This window comes from Homo sapiens, chromosome 4, assembly GCF_000001405.40.
Source record: "Homo sapiens chromosome 4, GRCh38.p14 Primary Assembly".
NCBI lineage: Eukaryota > Metazoa > Chordata > Mammalia > Primates > Hominidae > Homo > Homo sapiens.
The window spans coordinates 24,469,817-24,488,791 of NC_000004.12; the positions used below are offsets into that span (position 1 = coordinate 24,469,817).

Below are 18,975 nucleotides of genomic sequence, written 5' to 3' on the forward strand. Positions count from 1 at the left end.
CTCTCTTTCCTTTACTCCAAACCTGCCCCCATCCAGTCCCTCTCTCCCACCTCCTCTGGTTTCCTAGGAGTTTGCACGTGATTGCCTGTCTTGTGAAATCCAGCCGCAGCCCTTCGCTTTTAAACGCTCTCAAATGACTTGTTTCTATCTCGTTAAAGATGCTGCGAAACCTCCCATCTCTGCAAAGCTGTATCACTGCTTCCTTAGACCCAAGTCTCCTTCCTCTCTTCCTTTGGAGGAATACAAAGTGCCTGAGTTTCACGGCCCCGGGGTGCAGGTCGGAGGCACGCGCCTGGAAACTTGTCCTAACGCCTCTGACTCCAGGACTGGGGGGCGCGGCGCTGCCGAGGATGCCCGAATGCCGGCCGGGCTTGTACCGGGTGCGTGGTTCAAGCCTTTCGTACCCGCCTCAGTCCTCAAAGACGAGCAGGGCTTGGTTTCTGACTCATCGACAGACACAGACACACACACACACACACACACACACACACACACACACACACACACACTCTCTCACACAGGCAGGCACGCGGACGCCCGCTCCTGGAGAGCTGGAGTTTGCGGAGCCGGAGTGGTCGTTGGCTCTCGGCAATCCTGGGCGGATGCAAGGAAGCGTGGAGAGCACCCAAGGCCCGCCAGGCGGGGCAGGATAGCCTGAAGGAAGCCACCGGCGCCGGCCACGGGCAGCCGGGCACCCTCCGGGCCCCGATCGTGCTTCTCCAGGCCCCCAGCTCCAGCGCCGGCCCGACCACCTCAGTAGCTCCTGCAAGTTTCTACTCGCAGCGAGGCCTCGTGTCTCCCGGCTGCCTCACCGCGAATCCTCACTCCGCGCGCCTGGGCTGCCCTCCCGCCCCGCCCGAACGGCCGGCGTACTTCCCGGGGGCAGCCCAGACGCCCCCACCCGCGGCGGCGGCCCGACGGTCTGCCCAGAGCTCGCCGCCGCCTCCCGCTGCTGCTGCCGCGGCGGCGGGAGCCTCTCCAAGGCTCCGGGCGGCCCTTATGTATTATTCACTCGGATGGCCGCAGCGCTTTCTGGAGAGCCCACGCCGGAGAGGTCTTCACCTGGCAGCTAGTAGTTTGGCGATTTGTTTCTTGGAAACTTGGGGTGATGCGGAGGCGGCGGCGGCGAACATTTTTCGGTTGCTTTCGGGGTTTGTCTTCTCTGCCGGGAGCTCGCAGGAACGCGCTGCGCCCCGGGCCCGGGAGGGAGCGCGCCAGCGCCGGCGAGCGCGGCGGGCAGCCCCGCAAGCGGCCGAGGCTGGCTGGCGGGCTCCGGAGGAGAGGCGCCGCGGAGGCCAGGCGAGCCGGGCTGAACGGAGCTCTTTTCCTCGACACCCCCCACCCCTAGCGGGCCAGCTCCCCCCGCGGTGCGCGCTCCGCGGGGCCCGGGAATCCCCGGCGCCCTGGACCGCCCACCGAGTAGCTAATGCCTTTCACCATTGCTCCTCCACCGCTCCTCTGGCCCCAACTTTCCCCAGCCCAGACACGCGAGCGCGCGCGCACACCCACACACAGACACACACCCGCGTGCACACACACACACACGCATACACGTACACACATGCCTCCCCTCCCTCGACCCCAGCTCTACTTCCCCGCGTAGTTTGGAGATGACAGATGCCTGTAGACTTTCACCAACAAGCGGTGGGGGCAGCAGACTACAACAGTTATTTAATTAAAAGGCATTTTTCCTCTCTCTATTTCTCGCTCCAGCTCCCAGAATAGCTTTTTCACCCCTAGACCCTGAGCACATGCCTGTCTCTCCAGGTTACCAGTGGCCCGCTGACATCCATCTCCTTCCACGCCCCCCTTCCGGCGTCTACCCCCAGCGTCCCTGGGCCCCCCGAGTCACACCGACACGCACACCTACAGGCCGGCGGCGTGGAGCGTCTAGGGCACGATGCAGCCGGACTGCATTGCACAGTCATCAAAGTTAAGTGTGTTTGTGGGGTGCTTCTGTGCCCCAGGGGAGGCGCGGGGTCAGGAGGAGCGGAGGCTCCACTCTGCACCCCACCCCCCCCACCTCCGCGGGTCAGGGGACGCCTCTACTTGAGATTGCAGCCATTTTAGGGAAAGAGGCGGCTCGGGCCCCGAGGGGAGTGGAGGGGGGACAGCACGTCGCGGGGGGCTTGCGGCTCTGCAGCCCCTCGGCGCAACTGGAAGGCGGGTAGGCGCCGGGCGCACAGGGGCGCGGCGCCCGCGGCGACTTGGGGAAGGTTGCGCTCGAGTTCCCTGGTTCTGCCTGGAGTTGTTCGGGGTAACGCGCCGGCTCCTGCCTCTTTCTCGGGTTCCCGCTGGGCTGGGAGGTGGTGGGGGAAGGTGTCGATGGCAGATTGGGCACGGGAGGAACGCGACAGAACCTGGAGACTGGAAAGCTAGCGATGGGGGAAGGGGGGGTATCTCCTCTCGCCGGTTGGCGCTGACCCAGACAGTGCGACCCACTTGGCCCCCCATCCTCCCCACCCCCTCCCGAGCCTCTGCCTCCCCACCAAGTACCAAGTGAGCGCGCGGCAGGGGGCAAGGGGCGCGACGCCGCCCGGCACCGAGCCACCCCTTACCTGGTTGGAAGGGGTTTCCCAGGAGGAGCCGTAGTTGTAAAAGAAGGAAGAGAAGAGGGTGTCTTCCGACAGCCCGCAGCCCGCCATGCTCTGGATGCAAATAAAATGAGGAAAGAAAAAAAAAGCACACATACACAAAAGCAACCCAAAATTTTAAAAATCAAATTAAACCAATAAGCCAAGAAGAAATTCTCTCGAAAATAAAAGAAAAGGAGGGGGAAGGGAATGGCAAAGGGAACGGAAACTCTCGGCGGTGCTCCCTCTCCGGGAGAGGAGGGATGCTCGGGCTGCCGCCGCCGCCGCCGCCGCCGCCGCTGCCGCCTTCTCAAGACGGTACCTAGATAGGTTCGTCCTGACTTGGGCAGCCGCCGCCGCCGCCTGTGCCGGCTGCGTGTGTGCGCGCGTGTGTGTGCGTGTGCGTGTGTGTGGTGTGTGCGCGCAGAGCGAGAGACCGCAGGGGAAGCGAGAGGGCGAGATAATGAGCGAGCCGGGATGGAGGCGCAGAGGCAGCGCGAGCGGGCGGGCGTGTGCGCGCGGGGGTGCGTGCGTGTGTGTGTGTGTGTGTGTGTTGTGTGTGCGCGCGCGCGAGCGCGCGCGTGTGGCTGGGTGTGCGTCTGTTTGGGGAGCTCACCGGAGAGCCGGGGCCGTCACGTGGGCGCGCTGACTCCGCCGGCTGCCGGGGACAGCCTGTACTACAGCCCCGGCCACTAAATCAGACCACGCCGCCAGACCTTTTGCAGCCCGCGGCCGGCCGGCCGCCTTCTCCGACCTCCTCGCCATAGCCGCCGGGCCATGCGCGTCCCGGGACGGCAGGGGGCGCGGGTGAGGCCGCGGGCAGGTGGATGGATGGGTGGGGAGTGGGCCGCCCTGAGCCCGGGAAGAGGAAAAATGCTCGAGGAAAAACACAGGCGCCCACCCCCCCGCTACGTCCGGCAACCTCCTGGCAAGCCTTCCTTCCGCCCTGTTTGAAGATTTTTTTTTTTATTCCTAAAATTGCTTTTCCATGCAGAGACCCCTCTTCCAGCCACTGGAAAATTATTTTCACATAGTTGCTATGTCCCGCTTTTCTTGCTTTCGCGATCCCTCCAGCCCCCCCGCGCGCGTGTCCACGCAGGCACAGACACACCGGTGCCTGCCTCCTCCCATTCCAAATGCAAACCCACTTCCTTTTGCCGGTTGCTGTAGTTAAGCTAAGTCAATGCTACATCAAACTAGGCTAGGCTGAGAGGACTGGAAAGTGGATTTAGGGGACAATACTGCCCCAGCAGGAAGAAAGGCTCTAGTTTGGCGTTCTGTTGATTTAACAGTTTAAAACGAAAATGGATTTTGTAGCTTCTGCACTAAAACTCAGGCCCCTTGAGTCACAATTATTTAAAGGGAGCTATTCTCTAAAGTCCATTATATGATATAAAAATGTAAACGGATATAATGTCGTCTTTCTCTCTCTCCTCACAAAATGGTATTTTAGAACCAAATCTTTCAGTCTTAATAATTGGGTGGCTGAAAGGTGTGTTTTTTTTTTTTCTGCAAGAAGACATTCTTTACTTGCTTCCCCTTACTCTTTATACAGATATTTATAGAAAGTAAAATTTAAATAAAAACCAGCATATCTGTGTAAGATGCTCTTAAAAGTATTTGAATCCTTGCAGGAAGACTTGAAACAACCTCTTAAAGGCAGTTTATATTGTTTTCTTTCTGAATCCCGTTTCCAAATGCTGCCTATTTTTATTCAAACCAATTGTGTTTTTCCAAGAGTTCACACTTCCACTTGTAAATTCCCCACTGGAGGTCGAAATCCTCTGTGAAATAAACATTTCCACAGCAACCCAGTGATGTCAGAAACGTCGGCTAGTGATTTCAGAGGGGAAATAAAACAGGAGCAAAGAATGGCTCTAGAAAGACAGTTCCTTCATCCTTGCGAATAGCATGCCTCCTGGTAGAAATTCAGAAAACATTTCTGGCTAAATACCTGTTTTCTTTTTCTGAGATTGACTTATTTTTCAAAGGCATGTCAAATGATCTTTAAAAAAAAAATAGGTCACCATCCTCTTTTCTGGATTGGTGAAGAATGCTGTTTCAAATCAGTGGTGCCTAACCACACTGGCCACTGTAGATTTTTATAAGGGGGGGATATATTTTTTCTAAAAATTGATGTTGGAGAGAACATTGAAAGATGAAATTTTACGTACTAACTTCAGGCCCAAATAATGCTGACTGACCTGGCTTCAAACTTACAATAGTTTTTTTAAAGTATTAGGCACACAGAAGTTCTATTCAGTTATCGAAATTGGTGCTGATCTCACCAATATTGAATAAAGGGGCTTCTCCATTGTTCCCTCTATTGTTTCCTGTGTCTCCTGGCTGAGAAAAAGAAGGGAGGAATTCTTCATACTGCCCCTAATTCAATCCCCTTGCAGTCCCACCCCTATAAACATTAAATGTAAAGAGACCAGAAAATATTAAATTAGGCCCAATGCCTGTGTTTTCTTAGGCTTCCTATCTAAATAACATTTATACAGAGCATTATAGAAATGTCCACTTTGTAAACTGCTTTTCATACATACGTTAGCCCAAGTTAACATTCTGTTCCTGCAGCCACTCACTGATTCCCTGATTTTAGCTCAGGTCCCACATTCACACCAATGGAAGTTCATTCTGTCTGTGTTATCCCATCATCTATTTGTTGGATAAATGGATTCATTTCTCACAACAATTTTGGGAGAATCAGGACTCTTTATCTCCATTTTACAGATGTGGAAAGAGGCTCAGAGATGCTAAATAACCTAACCCAGGTCCTGCAGCTACAAAGTGATAGAAATTGAACCTAAACTTTGTGACCCCACCTACCTCTTTCTTCCAGATCTAACTGAGCCCATCACAGGCCTGCTCTTCTATGAACATTTCCCCCCTGCATACCAGATGGAGTAAGTGATTCCAACCCTTTCCCCCCAGTTGATGTCAAGTGTACATTTGTGAAATGTCTTAATTTAAAAATTGATTGCATGTGCTCATCACTGTCCACAAGAGCCCTGTTAGGCAGCAATTATTAGTTTTTTTTTTAATAGACCAGGAAACTGAGGCTTAAGGAAAGACCCCCCTCCCCAACTCCCCCTCCTTCCTACAGCTAGTAAGTGGAAGAGCTGGGTCTTGAACCAAAGACTTCTGGCTCATGCCTCTCTTTCCCTGAACAAACACACAGGAAAACAGATACATGGATCCACCTAGCAGGCCCAGGGCCTGCAGAGGCATCCAGGGATAAAGAGGCAGGAACAGGTTTAAAAGAACCTCCTCTGGGCACAAACAGGGGAACACTGTATAAAAGTCTCACCTCCAGCCTCAAACGTTTGTTTCCCCTCAAGTCTCCAGCTCTTTCTTTTTTCAACAGGAAAGCCCCCAAAGACGGCCACCTGAATAGTTTTCTGATAAAATGCCTCCTTCCCTGCTTACCCCTCTCCCTGGCAGCTCTGTCACCCCAAAAGAATTCTGCCTTCCTTGATAGATTTGCTCACCTGGCATCACCACAGTAACCTGGAGGTTTGTTTGCTAGTTCTCAGCAACATAAAACAAGCTGCCACCCCACCCCCTACCCTCACCGGGGCCCAGAACAGATGGAGACAGCCCCTTGGGAAGCAGAGGGAGCCATAAGCTCATTGAGAAAAGATCACTCCAGCCACCTTGCCAACTCCTTGCTGTGCAGTATTCAGAAGTCTGAAGATGGAAACCCAAAACAGAAAGCTTTTGATTTCCAGATCCGCTGTGGTTGTTTCTCTCAAGACAAACCAAACTTTCTTCTGCATGTATTCCCCTATCATATTGCCAAGTCACAATTTGTCACTTTGAAAATATGGAATTTGTTGAACTGATATCATCCTATTAGTGACAAATCCATCTTTATTCATAAATACTTTCCGCCCAAGAAATAAGTTTTGTATTAATATTGTATTGGAAATTAGTTAATAGTCCAGATGATGTGGGGTGTTTTCCTTGTTTATAAATGAGGTGCATTAACACTCTCGTACCACTAGGGTGTCATTTAGTGAATGACTGCTCAGCTCTGCAGATGCAAGAGGCCAAATTCTTGTAGATGTGAATAAAAAATGATCATTTTGGCTAAAACTGCAGATGGGAAGCAGATGTAATGTACAGAGGAAGTCGATTTCATTCCATCTCTTTCCTTTATTAAGTCTGTTAATTTGTCTTATTTAAAAAAGCATTCTGAATGCAAACACGTGTTAACTTGAGGCAAAGTGAAAACCAATATCATTCCTGCCTTCAAGAAGTTTACAGTCTCAACAAGTGTTTGGTCTATTAGGATTTGGGGTTGCCACTATTACTTTGAAACTGTTTAAAAGTTTACATCTCATCGAAATCATAATTACCCTGGGGAAAGATTAAAATTAAGAAATTGTGAGACACGGAAATGTCAGGAGGGCAAAAGGAATGTATAACAGAAGAGGAAGTTACCTTTTGTGGAAAACACGTGATGCCAAGGCCAGGGAGGAGGGTGCAACAGTTAATGCAAAAAGAAACTGAGGCAGGGCCGGGCGCAGTGGCTCACGCCTGTAATCCCAGCACTTTGGGAGGCCGAGGCAGGCGGACCACTTGAGGTCAGGAGTTTGAGACCAGCCTGACCAACGTGGTAAAACCCTGTCTCTACTAAAAATACAAAAATTAGCCATGGTGGTGCACACTTGCAATCCCAGCTACCTGGGAGGCTAAGGAGGGAGGATCGCTTAGATCCAGAAGGTGGAGGTTGCAGTGAGCTGAGATGCCACTGCACTCCAGCCTGAGAGACAGAGTGAGACACTGTCTCAAAAAAAAAAAAAAAATCAAGAAAAGAAACTGAAGAAGAAATGAACCTCAAAACAGCTACAGCAGTAATAATAACAAATAACTTAGTGAATGCTTCTAACGTGCCAGGCATGATATACAGCACATAACAATCTCTTTTGCTTTGGGCTTCCTTGAGAAAAGGATTGGAGTGCAAGTTGTTTATTTGGGAGGTAACCCTAGGAAACACAGGTAAGGAAGTAGGAGAAATGAGAGAAAGAAGTGGAGGAGGCTGTAAGGAGTGCAACTCTGGGTAAGAAGAGTTTAGTTCTGCTTGGGACCCTCTGGGAGGCAGTGTGGAATGCACAGTCTAGACTGACCCTCCTGGAAGTGTGAGGGGCTGGGGTATTTGCTGATCTTCCAGCTCCTCAGTGGAAGGCTACTCCTAGGTGTTGGTCACTCCCGGGCACATCCCACCTGTGGCCAGCACAGGCAAAGTGGGGTCTAGCAGCCAGAGTAAGTCCTCGGGCAACGGGGTGCTGCTGCTGATGGAATCTGGGAAATTCATGGAAATGGTCATGCGTGGAAATGGTCAGGGTTGTGCGGATCTGAGTTGGGACCAACAGCATCTGCGACACAAACATTAACTCATTTAATTTTACCAAAACCTTATGAAGTGGGAACGATTACATTTCCAGTTTCTCCCAGGAGAACACAGTCTGAGAGTGAGGAGTGGCATCTGTTGTTTTTACCCAGCTAGTGTCGGTTCCCTCTTCTGGGAACAGCCCCCTGCTCTTCCTTTGAGAAACATTCCCTTCCCCGTCTCAGTGATCTGACCTCACTTTCTCACTCCAGGGATGTGCAGGGGACCCCAGGTGACCGGATGAGAGCTCTGCCTCTCCAGAGCCATAGAGATTTTCACCAGAGCCATAGAGAGGCGTGCTCTCTCTGCTGGGAGAGCAAGGCTGGGAGAATGTGTAAGCCTGGCGCTCTTCCAGGCCATTTGACTCCCACCGGAATGAACCCAGCTGCTTAAGAATGAAGCCAGCTCAGAAGGAAAGAGAGCCTGAGAGGAAGCACTGCAGATTCCTGACTTAGATCCTTTGAGTAACTGGATCCAGCCCAACCTGAAGCTAGACACCTCCCTGGACTTTCTAAGTGTGTAAGCCAATAAACGTCTCCTCATTATAAGCCAGTCTGAGGCTGATTTATAGAAGTTAAGCATTTTGGCCAAGATCGCACATCTAACAAGTGTGGAGTAATATTCAGATCCATACAACCCTAATTCCATATGTGCTAGGGTTCTTAACCACCATGCTGTACAGTGGCAAATAGCATCTATGGCTGGACAGAGCTCAGAGCCACATCCTTTCATTGCCTGGCCCTCACTGGGAGTCTCTTCCCTTCCAGAAGCAGCTGCCAATTTGTTTAACAGAGTAATTGATCAGGGTACATCTTGATTTTCTTTGTTTGTTTGTTTTTGACTCTCATGGAGGCAAACATCTCAGCTGTATTTGAATTGTTTGTTGCATCAAATCATTAAATGTCTGGACATGTCTCGATCACTTGGTGAAAGGCTGGAGTGGAGGTGAGAGAAAGTGTAAAAAGAAAATAGGGAATTAAGGCCAGGCACGGTGGCTCACGCCTGTAATCTCAGCCCTTTGGGAGGCTGAGGCAGGTGGATCACTTGAGGTCAGGAGTTCGAGACCAGCCTGGTCAACGTGGTAAAACCCCATCTCTACTAAAAATACCAAAAAAAAAAAAAAAAATTAGCCAGGCATGGTGGTGGGTGCCTGTAATCCCAGCTACTCAGGAGGTTGAGGCAAGAGAATCGCTTGAACTTGGGAGGTGGAGGTTGCAGTGAGCCCAGATTGTGCCACTGCACTCCAACCTGGGTGACAGAACAAGATTCTATCAAAAAAAAAAAAGAGAAGAAGAGGAAGAAAAAGAAGAAGAAGAAGAAGAAGAAGGAGAAGAAGGAGAAGAAGGAGAAGGAGGAGAAGGAGAAGAAGGAGAAGAAGGAGAAGGAGAAGGAAGAAGAAGGAAGAAGGAAGAAGGGGAAGGGAAGGGAATGGAAGGGAAGGGAAGGGAAGGGAAGGGAAGGGAAGGGAAGGGAAGGGAAGGGACGGGAAGGGAAAGGAAAGGAAAGGAAGGGAGAAAATAGGGAATTAAGACCTTCAACTCTTGCCCTTTTTCTGATGACCCAATCAGGAGATATTTCTGGACAACCTCTGTATTAGTCAGGACTCAGTTGCAAGTGACAAAAACCCAACTTCACTGGCTAAAACAAAACAAAAAAATTTTTAAGAACTTTAATGGTTTTCCTGACTGAACAGCCCAGGAGTAGGGGTGTTTTCAGGCAAGGCTGGTCTATGCAAATCTCAAACAGTGTCAACAACCCAATTTCTTGGCTTTGCTTGCCTTTGGGTTGACTTCATTTTCCATTCCACATGGAGCCTCCAACATAACTGGCTCACCTCTTCCTTTGTATCAGTGGTCCTAACAGAAAGAGAGTAGACAGATGAGATAGATGTGCATCTCTCTCTCTCTCTCTCCCTCCCTCCCTCCCTCCCTCCCTCTCTCTCTCTCAACAGTCCAGTCAAAAATCCTTAGATCCTAAAACATTGGCTCTGATTGGGTCATGTTCCCATCTTTACATTAATTATGGTAATCAGTGGGATGCAATGCTCTGTGATTGGCCAGGCTTGAGTCTCATGCCCATCCTTGGCTCTAGAAGTCCATAACACCAAAGCAAATAAACAGACTGAAGAAGACGTAGCTTCCCAGAGGAAAATTCGAGGACAGTCTGTGTATCTGGTACTTTTGGGAGAATGATGATTGGATGTCAAGCAGGCAAAAATGGCAGTCATCCACATTGCACCTACTATGTTCTCTGCACTGTGGCTAACATGATAGAGGGTACGTGACCACTTTTTTGTCTTTAAGGAGCAGACGCTATGTTCAGAAAAAAGGTGTCACTACCTGTAGAACAACAAATAAAATATATAATAATAAATGAAGTTCACTGATGAGCATATCACAGGTTGTTATTTGCAGGCAACAGAATTCACTTCAGATACTTTAGGCAGAAAGTCTTAGGTAACTCATATAATTTCCAGGAGGGTTAGAGAATTGGGTTTGGATGCTACAAATAGGAACAAAGCTGCCAGGAAAAAAAGCTATATGACAATAGACTGGACACCAGAAACTCTACCACCCACAGTCTTGGAAGAACAGGAAGCTTGGTAACCTCATTTGCCAGAACATCTGATCTCCCTGTACTTAGCAGTTGCCATACATTGTGCACTTCTGCCTGTAAGACTGGAGAAGGTGTGTTTGCCTGGAGGCACCTTGGTCACATGGGTGACCTGCAAAAGGTTCTGGGAAATGTTGCTTTTGGCTCTCTGGCCTCTATGAACCACAGAGTTAGTAGGAGAATGTTGCAATGGAAACCGAATGAGTTAATTTACGATATCTGCCACAGAGCAGGTGACAGGAGTTCAGGGGAGAGAAGAATAAAAAGGCCAAGATCCAATCGTCTGTCACATTGGTTGTCTGACATTTGCTTAAAAATCAGAGGCTATAGATGCCGGGGATAAAATGTCCACAGAAGCCACACCTGGTCCATACCTCCAAGTTCTGGATGCCATTTGAAGACAGATGATGGCAAGTTGTGTTTGTCCATGGGCAGAAGATCAAGAAGAAGTCTGGGCTATGTTGTATGAACCATCTTGACACCTCCCTCCCCTTCAATATCAATATCCAATGTCTCTCCTTAAATGCTTCCCCTTCTGTCTACTTCCACTCAGTCACCTATGCTGGGCTACCTTTCTCTTCTGTCAGGACCCTATGGTAGATTCCTAACAGGTCTTTTTGCATCCATTGTGACCCAGCCATTCTTCATCCTGCAAAAAGAATAATGTCTTCAAAGCGCAAATCTAATCATAGCGCGCTTCAGTGGCTTTCATTGCTCTTTGGATCAAAACCCAAATCCTAAAAATGACCCCTTTCAGTTCCTCTAATCTAGACACCTACCCCAACCCCAAGTCTGACACAATTTTCCATAATCCCACAGGGCTTTCTAAGGAGTTACAAGGCCCCTTGTGACCAGATTCTTCCACGGACCTCTCCAGCTCATCTCAAGTGACTTTTTCCTTTGCTCCTTCTCAAAGGCCTCCCAACTCACACAAGGCCTCAGTGTGGCCAGCTCACTTAAGCTCTCAGAGACGTCAGATTCTTCCACCTCAGTGTGGCTTTGCCCCTACTCTTCCCTCTGCCTGGAGAAGCTTTCCTACCCTTCCTGCCTGCCTAAGACCTTCTCAAACTCTAGAGTAGAGGTCATCATTTTGAGGAAAGTCTCTTGTCACAGTCCCAGAGGAAAGCCCTTTCATCTCTTCTCCTGGTTTCTGCCACACCTCTGTTCCATCTCCCACCAGCTGGTCTTATTCACTGTGGTTTTCCTCACCTAGCACAGAACCCACTCAATACAAGTTGACTGAACAAGACCAAATAAACGTTAAAAGGAAGAAGAAAAAAAAATCCCTCTACACAGAAAGCAGTAATAAATAAAATGTGTTCTACTACCACCTTAAGACCTCAATTAATGTGCTTTTCTCCTCGTGAATCCTTGCTTCCAAGCAAATAGAATCTGACAGGCCGAATTAAATCATTTATCTTTCTAGGTCTCTGCCTTGGTTCTAACACTAGTGAAAAAGCCCTGATATTTCATAAGAAACTGGCAAAAGCAAGAGCTACGGCCTGGTACCTTGACTTTATCTGGTGGTGCAACCGATATATACATGTGTCAGGAGAAAAACATTCATTTCCAATGCTTCTTTTACCTAGGTGGAATTAAATGCCAGATTACCATATTTGATCATTTTGTTTTCTCACACACACCCTAAGGAACCTGTGTGTGTGTGTGTGTGTGTGTGTGTGTGTGTGTGTGTGCGCGCGCGCGCGCATGCGTGTGCGTGTGCGTGCCAACCAGGTTATTTAACTCCATACGTGGCTACAGCTGCAAACTACAGTGCAAACAGCCTTAGTGACAAAAACACAACCAGAAATGCTTAAAACTTCTGCTAAATGTTATGTTCCAGTTCCATCTTACACATTTTAATGTCTTTTGATTTGGAGTGACCTATGGGTTTCAACCATGGGCCAGCGAGGAAACAAAAGATCATTTCCACTCTGCCCTGTATAATTAAATACCTAGATGAAGTTTTCTCTGGTTCTGCTTTCAGAGCCAAACAACGCTTGTTTGCATTCCATCATCATATATCAACACCCACGGGCCAGGGGAATTTACCTTTGCTGTTCTATCGCTAGACCCTTATATCAGGGCATCCTGACCGCATTTAAGCATATCAGAGAGGCCTCTGGTTACGAAGCCTGCAATATTTATTTTTCCTTAAATCACAAAAATATCCTATTTACAGTCCACTATTTGGAAAGGGATAACATGGATACAGACACTCCATAGATAATCCCTGCATCTCGTCTACAGATTCAAACATCTGTTTTTCTTCAAACCTTTGTCTCGGAGATGCTGAGTAGTCACGAAAGGGAGTGGTTTGGATTCCCCTCTGCTCGCTTCTCCTGCTGAGATCTGGAGGGTGAGACCCCAGTGAGATGGCATCGGGGTCAGACAGAGAGAAGGAAGACAGTGAGGAAAGGCGAGGATGAGTTGGGGACTTTGTGCAGCCGGAAGCAACCTGAGAGGCTCCACAAGCCATGTTCACGCGAGGGCTCCTTGGGCACAAATCACCTGGGGGAATTCATCACAGTGAAGATTCTGGCTTGTTAGGGTTGGACAGGGGCCTGAGATTCTGCATTTACTAGCAAGCTCCTGGAGGCTGCTGCTGCTGCTGGCTGGGACCTGCAATATGAGTGTTCAGGATCTTTAAACCTCAGGCTCTGAGTCAGACAGGCCTGGCTGGGAATCACCCCCTGGGTAGCTGGGCACTCTTGGGCAAATTTCTTAATTCTCTAGACCCTGGATTCCTTATCAGTGTAACAGCAATGATAGTACCCACTGAGCAGGTCTGCACATGAGGGGTTCAGTGTAATGTCTGGCGTGCCAGAAAGCCATCTGGTTAGCGTTGCTTATTGTTACCTGATTCAGAGACTTCTTGGAGTGAGGCATGTTAAAGGTGACAGAATGAGGACCAGAGCCTAACTCCCCAACTTCCTGGGAAGTACGCCTTGCCTATTTCATTATTTTATTATTTTTAATATTTAGATTTCTCTTGGTTGTATTTTCTCATTACACATAATAATACAGATTTGTGAAAAGAAAGAAAAGGAGGAAGATAGGGAGGTTAAGACAGAGGGAGAGAGAAAAGAAGGAAAAGAATTAAATTAGAAAAAGGCCAGATGCTGTATCTCATGCCTGTAATCCCAGAATTTTGGGAGGCCAAGGCAGGTGGATCACCTGAGGTCAGGATATTCAAGATCAACCTGGCCAATATGGTAAAACTGCGTCTCCACTAAAAATAAAAAATAAATAAAAAATTAGCTGGGCATGGTGGTGGGCACTTGTAATCCCAACTACTAGGGAGGCTGAGACATGAGAATCACTTGAACCCAGGAAGCAGAGGTTGCAGTGTGCCAAGATCATGCCACTGCACTCCAGCCTGGGTGACAGAGCAAGACTTCATCCTCAAAAAATAAATGCCGGACGCGGTGGCTCACACCTGTAATCCCAGCACTTTGGGAGGCCAAGATGGGAGGATCACGAGGTCAGGAGATTGAGACCATCCTGGCTAACACGGTGAAACCCATCTCTATTAAAAAGACAAAAAATTAGCCAGGCGTGGTGGCGGGCGCCTGTAGTCCCAGCTACTTGGGAGGCTGAGGCAGGAGAATGGTGTGAACCCAGGAGGCAGAGCTTGCAGTGAGCTGAGATCACGCCACTGCACTCCAGCCCGGGCGACAGAACAAGACTCTGTCTCAAAATAAATAAATAAATAATAAAAATAAAATAAAATAAGAAAAAAACTGCCAAAGAGATCATGTGACATTTTAGTCTATGTACTTCTAGTTATAAACACATATACTTTAAATAATAGAATTCTATTGAACATACCATTTTGCAATCTTTTTATTTTCCCTCGATGCACGCCAATAATAATAGAACAATAGTAGTGATGACAATAACAATAGCTAGTCTTTTTTAGCCTCTTACTATGTGTTAAACACCCCTCTAACACACTCTTAACTCATGAATTTTCACAACCCTTTGACATAGACGCTTATCATCTGCATTTTATAAATGAGGAAACTGAGGCACAAAAAGTGTAATATACCCAAGGTCTCACAACTAGTAAATGGGGAATTCAGGGTGGAAACCAGGCAGCCCACAGCACAGCCCCTGCCTAAAAAACCCATGTTCTGTGTTCTTCATGGTTCATCCTGACGTGCTGTTTCACTGCCTGATTATTTTCCATTTACCACATCATGAATATCTGTCCTCGCCATTCCATAGTTTTGCACAACATCACTTTTGGTGGCTGCATAGTATTTGTTGTCTATTATTATCTCCATTTTACAGATGAGAAAATCGAGGCTTGGGTGCTCAGTAGGCTGGCGGAGGGTAGTTGGAATGACCACAACCTGCCTTCAAGCCCTAGGCGCTGTCCGCCCCACAGTGCTCTCAGAAGTACACACACTGAGCACCTACTGCAATCAGGGTATTTGCTGGTCTCAGTGAAGAATGGCAGACCCATACGATTCTCACTGCTGTGCAACTTACAGTCCAGTGGGTTGAGACTCGCAATGAAATAAGTAAGCAAATACATGACCAAGATGATTTGAGATATTGGCAAGTGCTAGAAAAACAATTCCACTCTGTGGTGTGATGAGTGTGAGTGGCAGTGATTATTCTGGAAAACTGTTTGAGGAGGTAAGATTTGAAGTGATACCCAGATGACAAGAGGAAGTCATCACACAGTAATCTAGAGTCAGATTTATCTAAAGCTCTTAACATCAAACAAAAGCTTAGTGCTAACCTGAGGGAATGGTGAGCAGAAGCATTTTTTATTTTTAGAAGTCTCATAAAGAGCATGAGACAGTGCAGGCAGAGTGGAAACAGCAAGGCTTGTGAGCCAGGGCTGGCGGGGGTGAGCCTGGCTCTGTCCCGCGTGTGGCCTTTGACAGAGTCCCAGTCACCTCATCTGTAAAATGGGCTTGCAATTGCTTAGAGCAGGGCTGCTGTCAACATGAAATGGAATAACTATGGAAAGCACCTGGAGGATACTGTAATCTCTACTGTTGACATCAGCTCTCAGGGTTTGATTGGCCTGCCCTTTGAAGCATCCAGTCTGGAATATTAAGACATCAGTGTCCGGGTGTGGTGGCTTATGCCTGTAATCCCAGTATTTTGGGAGGCTAAGGCAGGCAGATCACTTAAGGTCAGGAGTTCAAGGTTAGTTCAAGCCTAGCCAACATGGCAAAACGCTGCCTCTACTAAAAATACAAAAATCAGCCAGGCATGGAGGCACGCCCCTGTAATCCCAGCTACTCAGGAGGCTGAGGCAGGAGAAACACTTGAACCTGGGAGGCGGAGGCTGCAGTGAGCCGAGATTGCGCCATTGCTCTCCAGCCTGGGCGACGGAGCAAGACTCCGTCCCACAAAAAAAAAAAAAAAAAAAGACATCAGCATTAATCAACAGGAGAATAAGGAGATTCCTGAGATTTCACAAACGACACATATTTGTGAGCCTGTTGGGTATTGTCACCATATTATGATTAAGATCTAGATAATACTTGGCACATCATTTACTAAGTCTCTCCACAAGAGCAACTTGGAAAATTCAGAGGAATGACCTTTGGCTTCTCAGTTGGTCTGTTTACTCTGATAGACTGAGGGAGAAGGCTAACTGGGTCACCCATGACCATCTTTGACCTTTCTCAACTCTCAGTTGATGTCACTGTTGTGGTAGAGGCCCTTGGGGAAAAATTCTTTCTCTCTCAACTTTCTTTGTCCATGGAAGTAAATTGTGTTAACAATGGCTCTGACTACATTTATATCCATTGCCTACCTTCATCTTCCTACCTCCTGTTCTCCCCATTTTACAGACGAGGGGACCGAGGTTCCGAGAGGTCACACAGCCAGGTAGGCAGCTCGCTCTGGGCTGGGTCCTTTTCTCGTTCATGTACTCAGTCCCCACAACAGTCTTCAAGCCTTTTTGCCTCAGGAACCACTCTTTCTTCCATTTTCCCCTGGTCAGCTCTGACCTCGTCCTCAGATCTCAGCTTGTGTCACTTCCTCAGTGAAAAGCCCATATTATGGGCTCACCAAGCTCTGTATCTTCCTCCTGCGTCCTGCCTATCAAAGCTACAATTGCACAATTGTCCATGTGACTGTTGGATCCATGTATAAAGTAGGAGTAAAGAGCCCAAGCTCAGACATCAGGGACGTGGGTTTAGAAATGAGTGCCACCTCTTTCCAGCTGAGTGTCTTTGGGCTAGTTATTTAGCCCCTGCCCATCTCAGTTTCCTGGGGTGTAAAATGAGAATCATAATAATAACTACCTCATAGAATGGCAATGATGTGAAATCAACTCATGTTGCTAAAGTTCTTGGGGAAAATGCCCAACAGACAGCCTGCGATACACGTAGAGAGGGGCCAGAAGGCCATCTCCTAGGCCACACCGAGCCACACTGCAACCTCCATACAGGCAGGATGGTGTTGCGCTTGGCAAAGCAGGTATTCCACAAATATCTGTAGAATTCAATGAAGTACTATCATCATCATCCTCATTATCATTCTCATTTTACAAGAGAGCGTTCAAGTCGCTTGCCCAAGGTCACATGACTAGTTAAGACACTGAGCTGAGACTCACCTTAAATCCTATTGCTCATCCCACCTGGCTATTCTGCTGGCCATAGGGTCTTCTGGTCTACTGTGGATAAAACCCAGAGTCCAGGCAGGACAGGGAACAGGGGGTTGCAGAAGCTTAGGGAGGAAGCACGCCAAAGTAGGCGCACCTTCATACAGTCTCCCAAGCCCGACTGCCTGCAGATTTTCTGTCTGAGCCGCCAGAAACAAAGATGACAGCCGAAGGGCTGAAGGTCACTCCAGAGTAGGGAGAGAGGGGTCTTGGTGGGCCCAGATCTCCCAGCACCAGGCAGTGGGTTCTCACACCAGCCTTGGTCTCCTGGGCACAGAACGAGGACAGGGATAGGAGACCTCCCATCTCTCAAATGCCCTGGTGTGTTTAACTTGTTCCTGCATTTTCCTGGGGGACTTGTGTGTGCTCTGGGCCTAATGATTTCCTGTGAACATTCTACCCGGGGTGTATTCCTGTGTCTTCAGAGGAAGGACTAATCCAGCCAGACCGTCTCCATTCCCCTCCCTTTACCCTCTCGGACCAGACCAGCCTGGCATTTTTTTCTCTTGAATTTAAGAGCCTTGCAGACACGAAGATCCTTTTAGCTTTTAACATATTTAATAATTTATTATTTATCTAGTGTTTTTGTAAATGTATTCCTCAGATCTTGCCTTTGCATCTCTAGTTTCCAATTTGCACCTACCTGACATAGTTTATATTACAATCCCTTGATTCTCCAAAGGCAGGGTTTCCTCTTTTAACACTTTTTTATAGTCCTAATGAACTTCTATGCTTCATTTACTCAAGAAGACATCTCTCTCTCCCTCTTTCACATTTTCCTGCTCACAGGCATACAAATCATATGTGTCACTAATACAGTGTTGATTTTTCCTGGGTTGGTTCTTTTTTTAAACATGTTTGCCCTTCAGCCTGCTATTAACCAGTTTCTTCCTACTTTGAAAAACTCACTCTTTTAAATTTCATCATTCAGTATTTCCTCAGGGATTTTACCCTTTATTAAGAAGTCAGAACCAATTTTGGAGCAATCCTGGATACCAAACAGTCTCCTGAATCCTTTGTCTCCTCCCCAGCTCTGGCACAGGAGTGGGCACACAGCAGTGACCCAATAAATACTTGTTGGTTGACCAGGTGGCCAACAAGTGATTTTCAGAGAGGCAGATTGGAGTCCTGCTTAAGTACATGGGTGTGAAATCGGGACATGTGGGTTTCAGTGCTGGTTTTATTCCACATGTGGCTCTGTGACCTTAAGCAAGCCACTCAAATGCTCTAGGCTTCCATTTCCTCAGCTGTAAAATGGGAATGAGAGTCTTTTCTACCATCTTCCAAGGCTTACTGCAAGGATTAAATACATAAAACACTAAGGAAGATACCTGACAGAGCAAGCTGTCGATAAACAATAACTTTGGTTTCTTGCCTACTGCCTCCTCTTTGCAAGACACTTACATGATAGAGATTACCTTGAATCACAGACAGAACAAGGCAATTCACACCTCTCCCCGCACTTCCAAATTAAGAACCACGTGTGATAAAGGCACTAGGAAGATCTCGCTCTCGGTTGTCCACACAAGCATTTAGATGTGTGCAAACGGCCCATCCATGAGTCCCAGTCTCCTGCTGTCCCTTCTGAGACCTCAAGGCCAGCATCTGTAAAAAGGGGATGGTACTTTGCCCCTTACTGGAGAAAGAATTCACCATCCCTATTCTCAAACCTGTCGCCTTCATTTAAATGATCTATTGCCTTGTTACCCTAACATGAATTGCCCTCACACCAGTTCAAAACAGCTGGTAAATAA

At 48.2% G+C, this 18,975-nt stretch overlaps 1 protein-coding gene and 1 long non-coding RNA gene across 12 annotated transcripts in view, besides 2 other annotated features; one reads left to right on the plus strand and one right to left on the minus strand.

The window, feature by feature from the left end:
- Window positions 1-3,089, minus strand: part of PPARGC1A (PPARG coactivator 1 alpha) — a 680,885-nt gene extending 677,796 nt beyond the window's left edge. For all 11 annotated transcript variants that reach the window (NR_148982.2, NR_148986.2, NR_148981.2 and 8 more), the window contains exon 1: window positions 2,559-3,089. The gene's annotated coding sequence lies outside the window, so the exon portion shown is untranslated. The remainder of the gene's footprint in view (window positions 1-2,558) is intronic.
- Window positions 1,419-1,920: an enhancer, noted in NCBI's record as "H3K27ac-H3K4me1 hESC enhancer chr4:24472858-24473359 (GRCh37/hg19 assembly coordinates)". NCBI's record gives its function as "activates a minimal SCP1, AML or CMV promoter by ChIP-STARR-seq in naive H9 embryonic stem cells {active_cell/tissue: H9 hESC(naive)}" and the evidence as "EXISTENCE:reporter gene assay evidence [ECO:0000049][PMID:30033119]".
- Window positions 3,302-3,441: a silencer, noted in NCBI's record as "silent region_15315". NCBI's record gives its function as "represses an Ori minimal core promoter by ATAC-STARR-seq in GM12878 lymphoblastoid cells {active_cell/tissue: GM12878}" and the evidence as "EXISTENCE:reporter gene assay evidence [ECO:0000049][PMID:35858748]".
- LOC124900681 (uncharacterized) lies at window positions 3,448-8,519 on the plus strand. The gene is made up of 2 exons (XR_007058077.1): window positions 3,448-5,482; window positions 8,184-8,519. It is a non-coding gene; the product is annotated as an uncharacterized LOC124900681 (long non-coding RNA).
- Window positions 8,520-18,975: the final 10,456 nt, after the last annotated feature.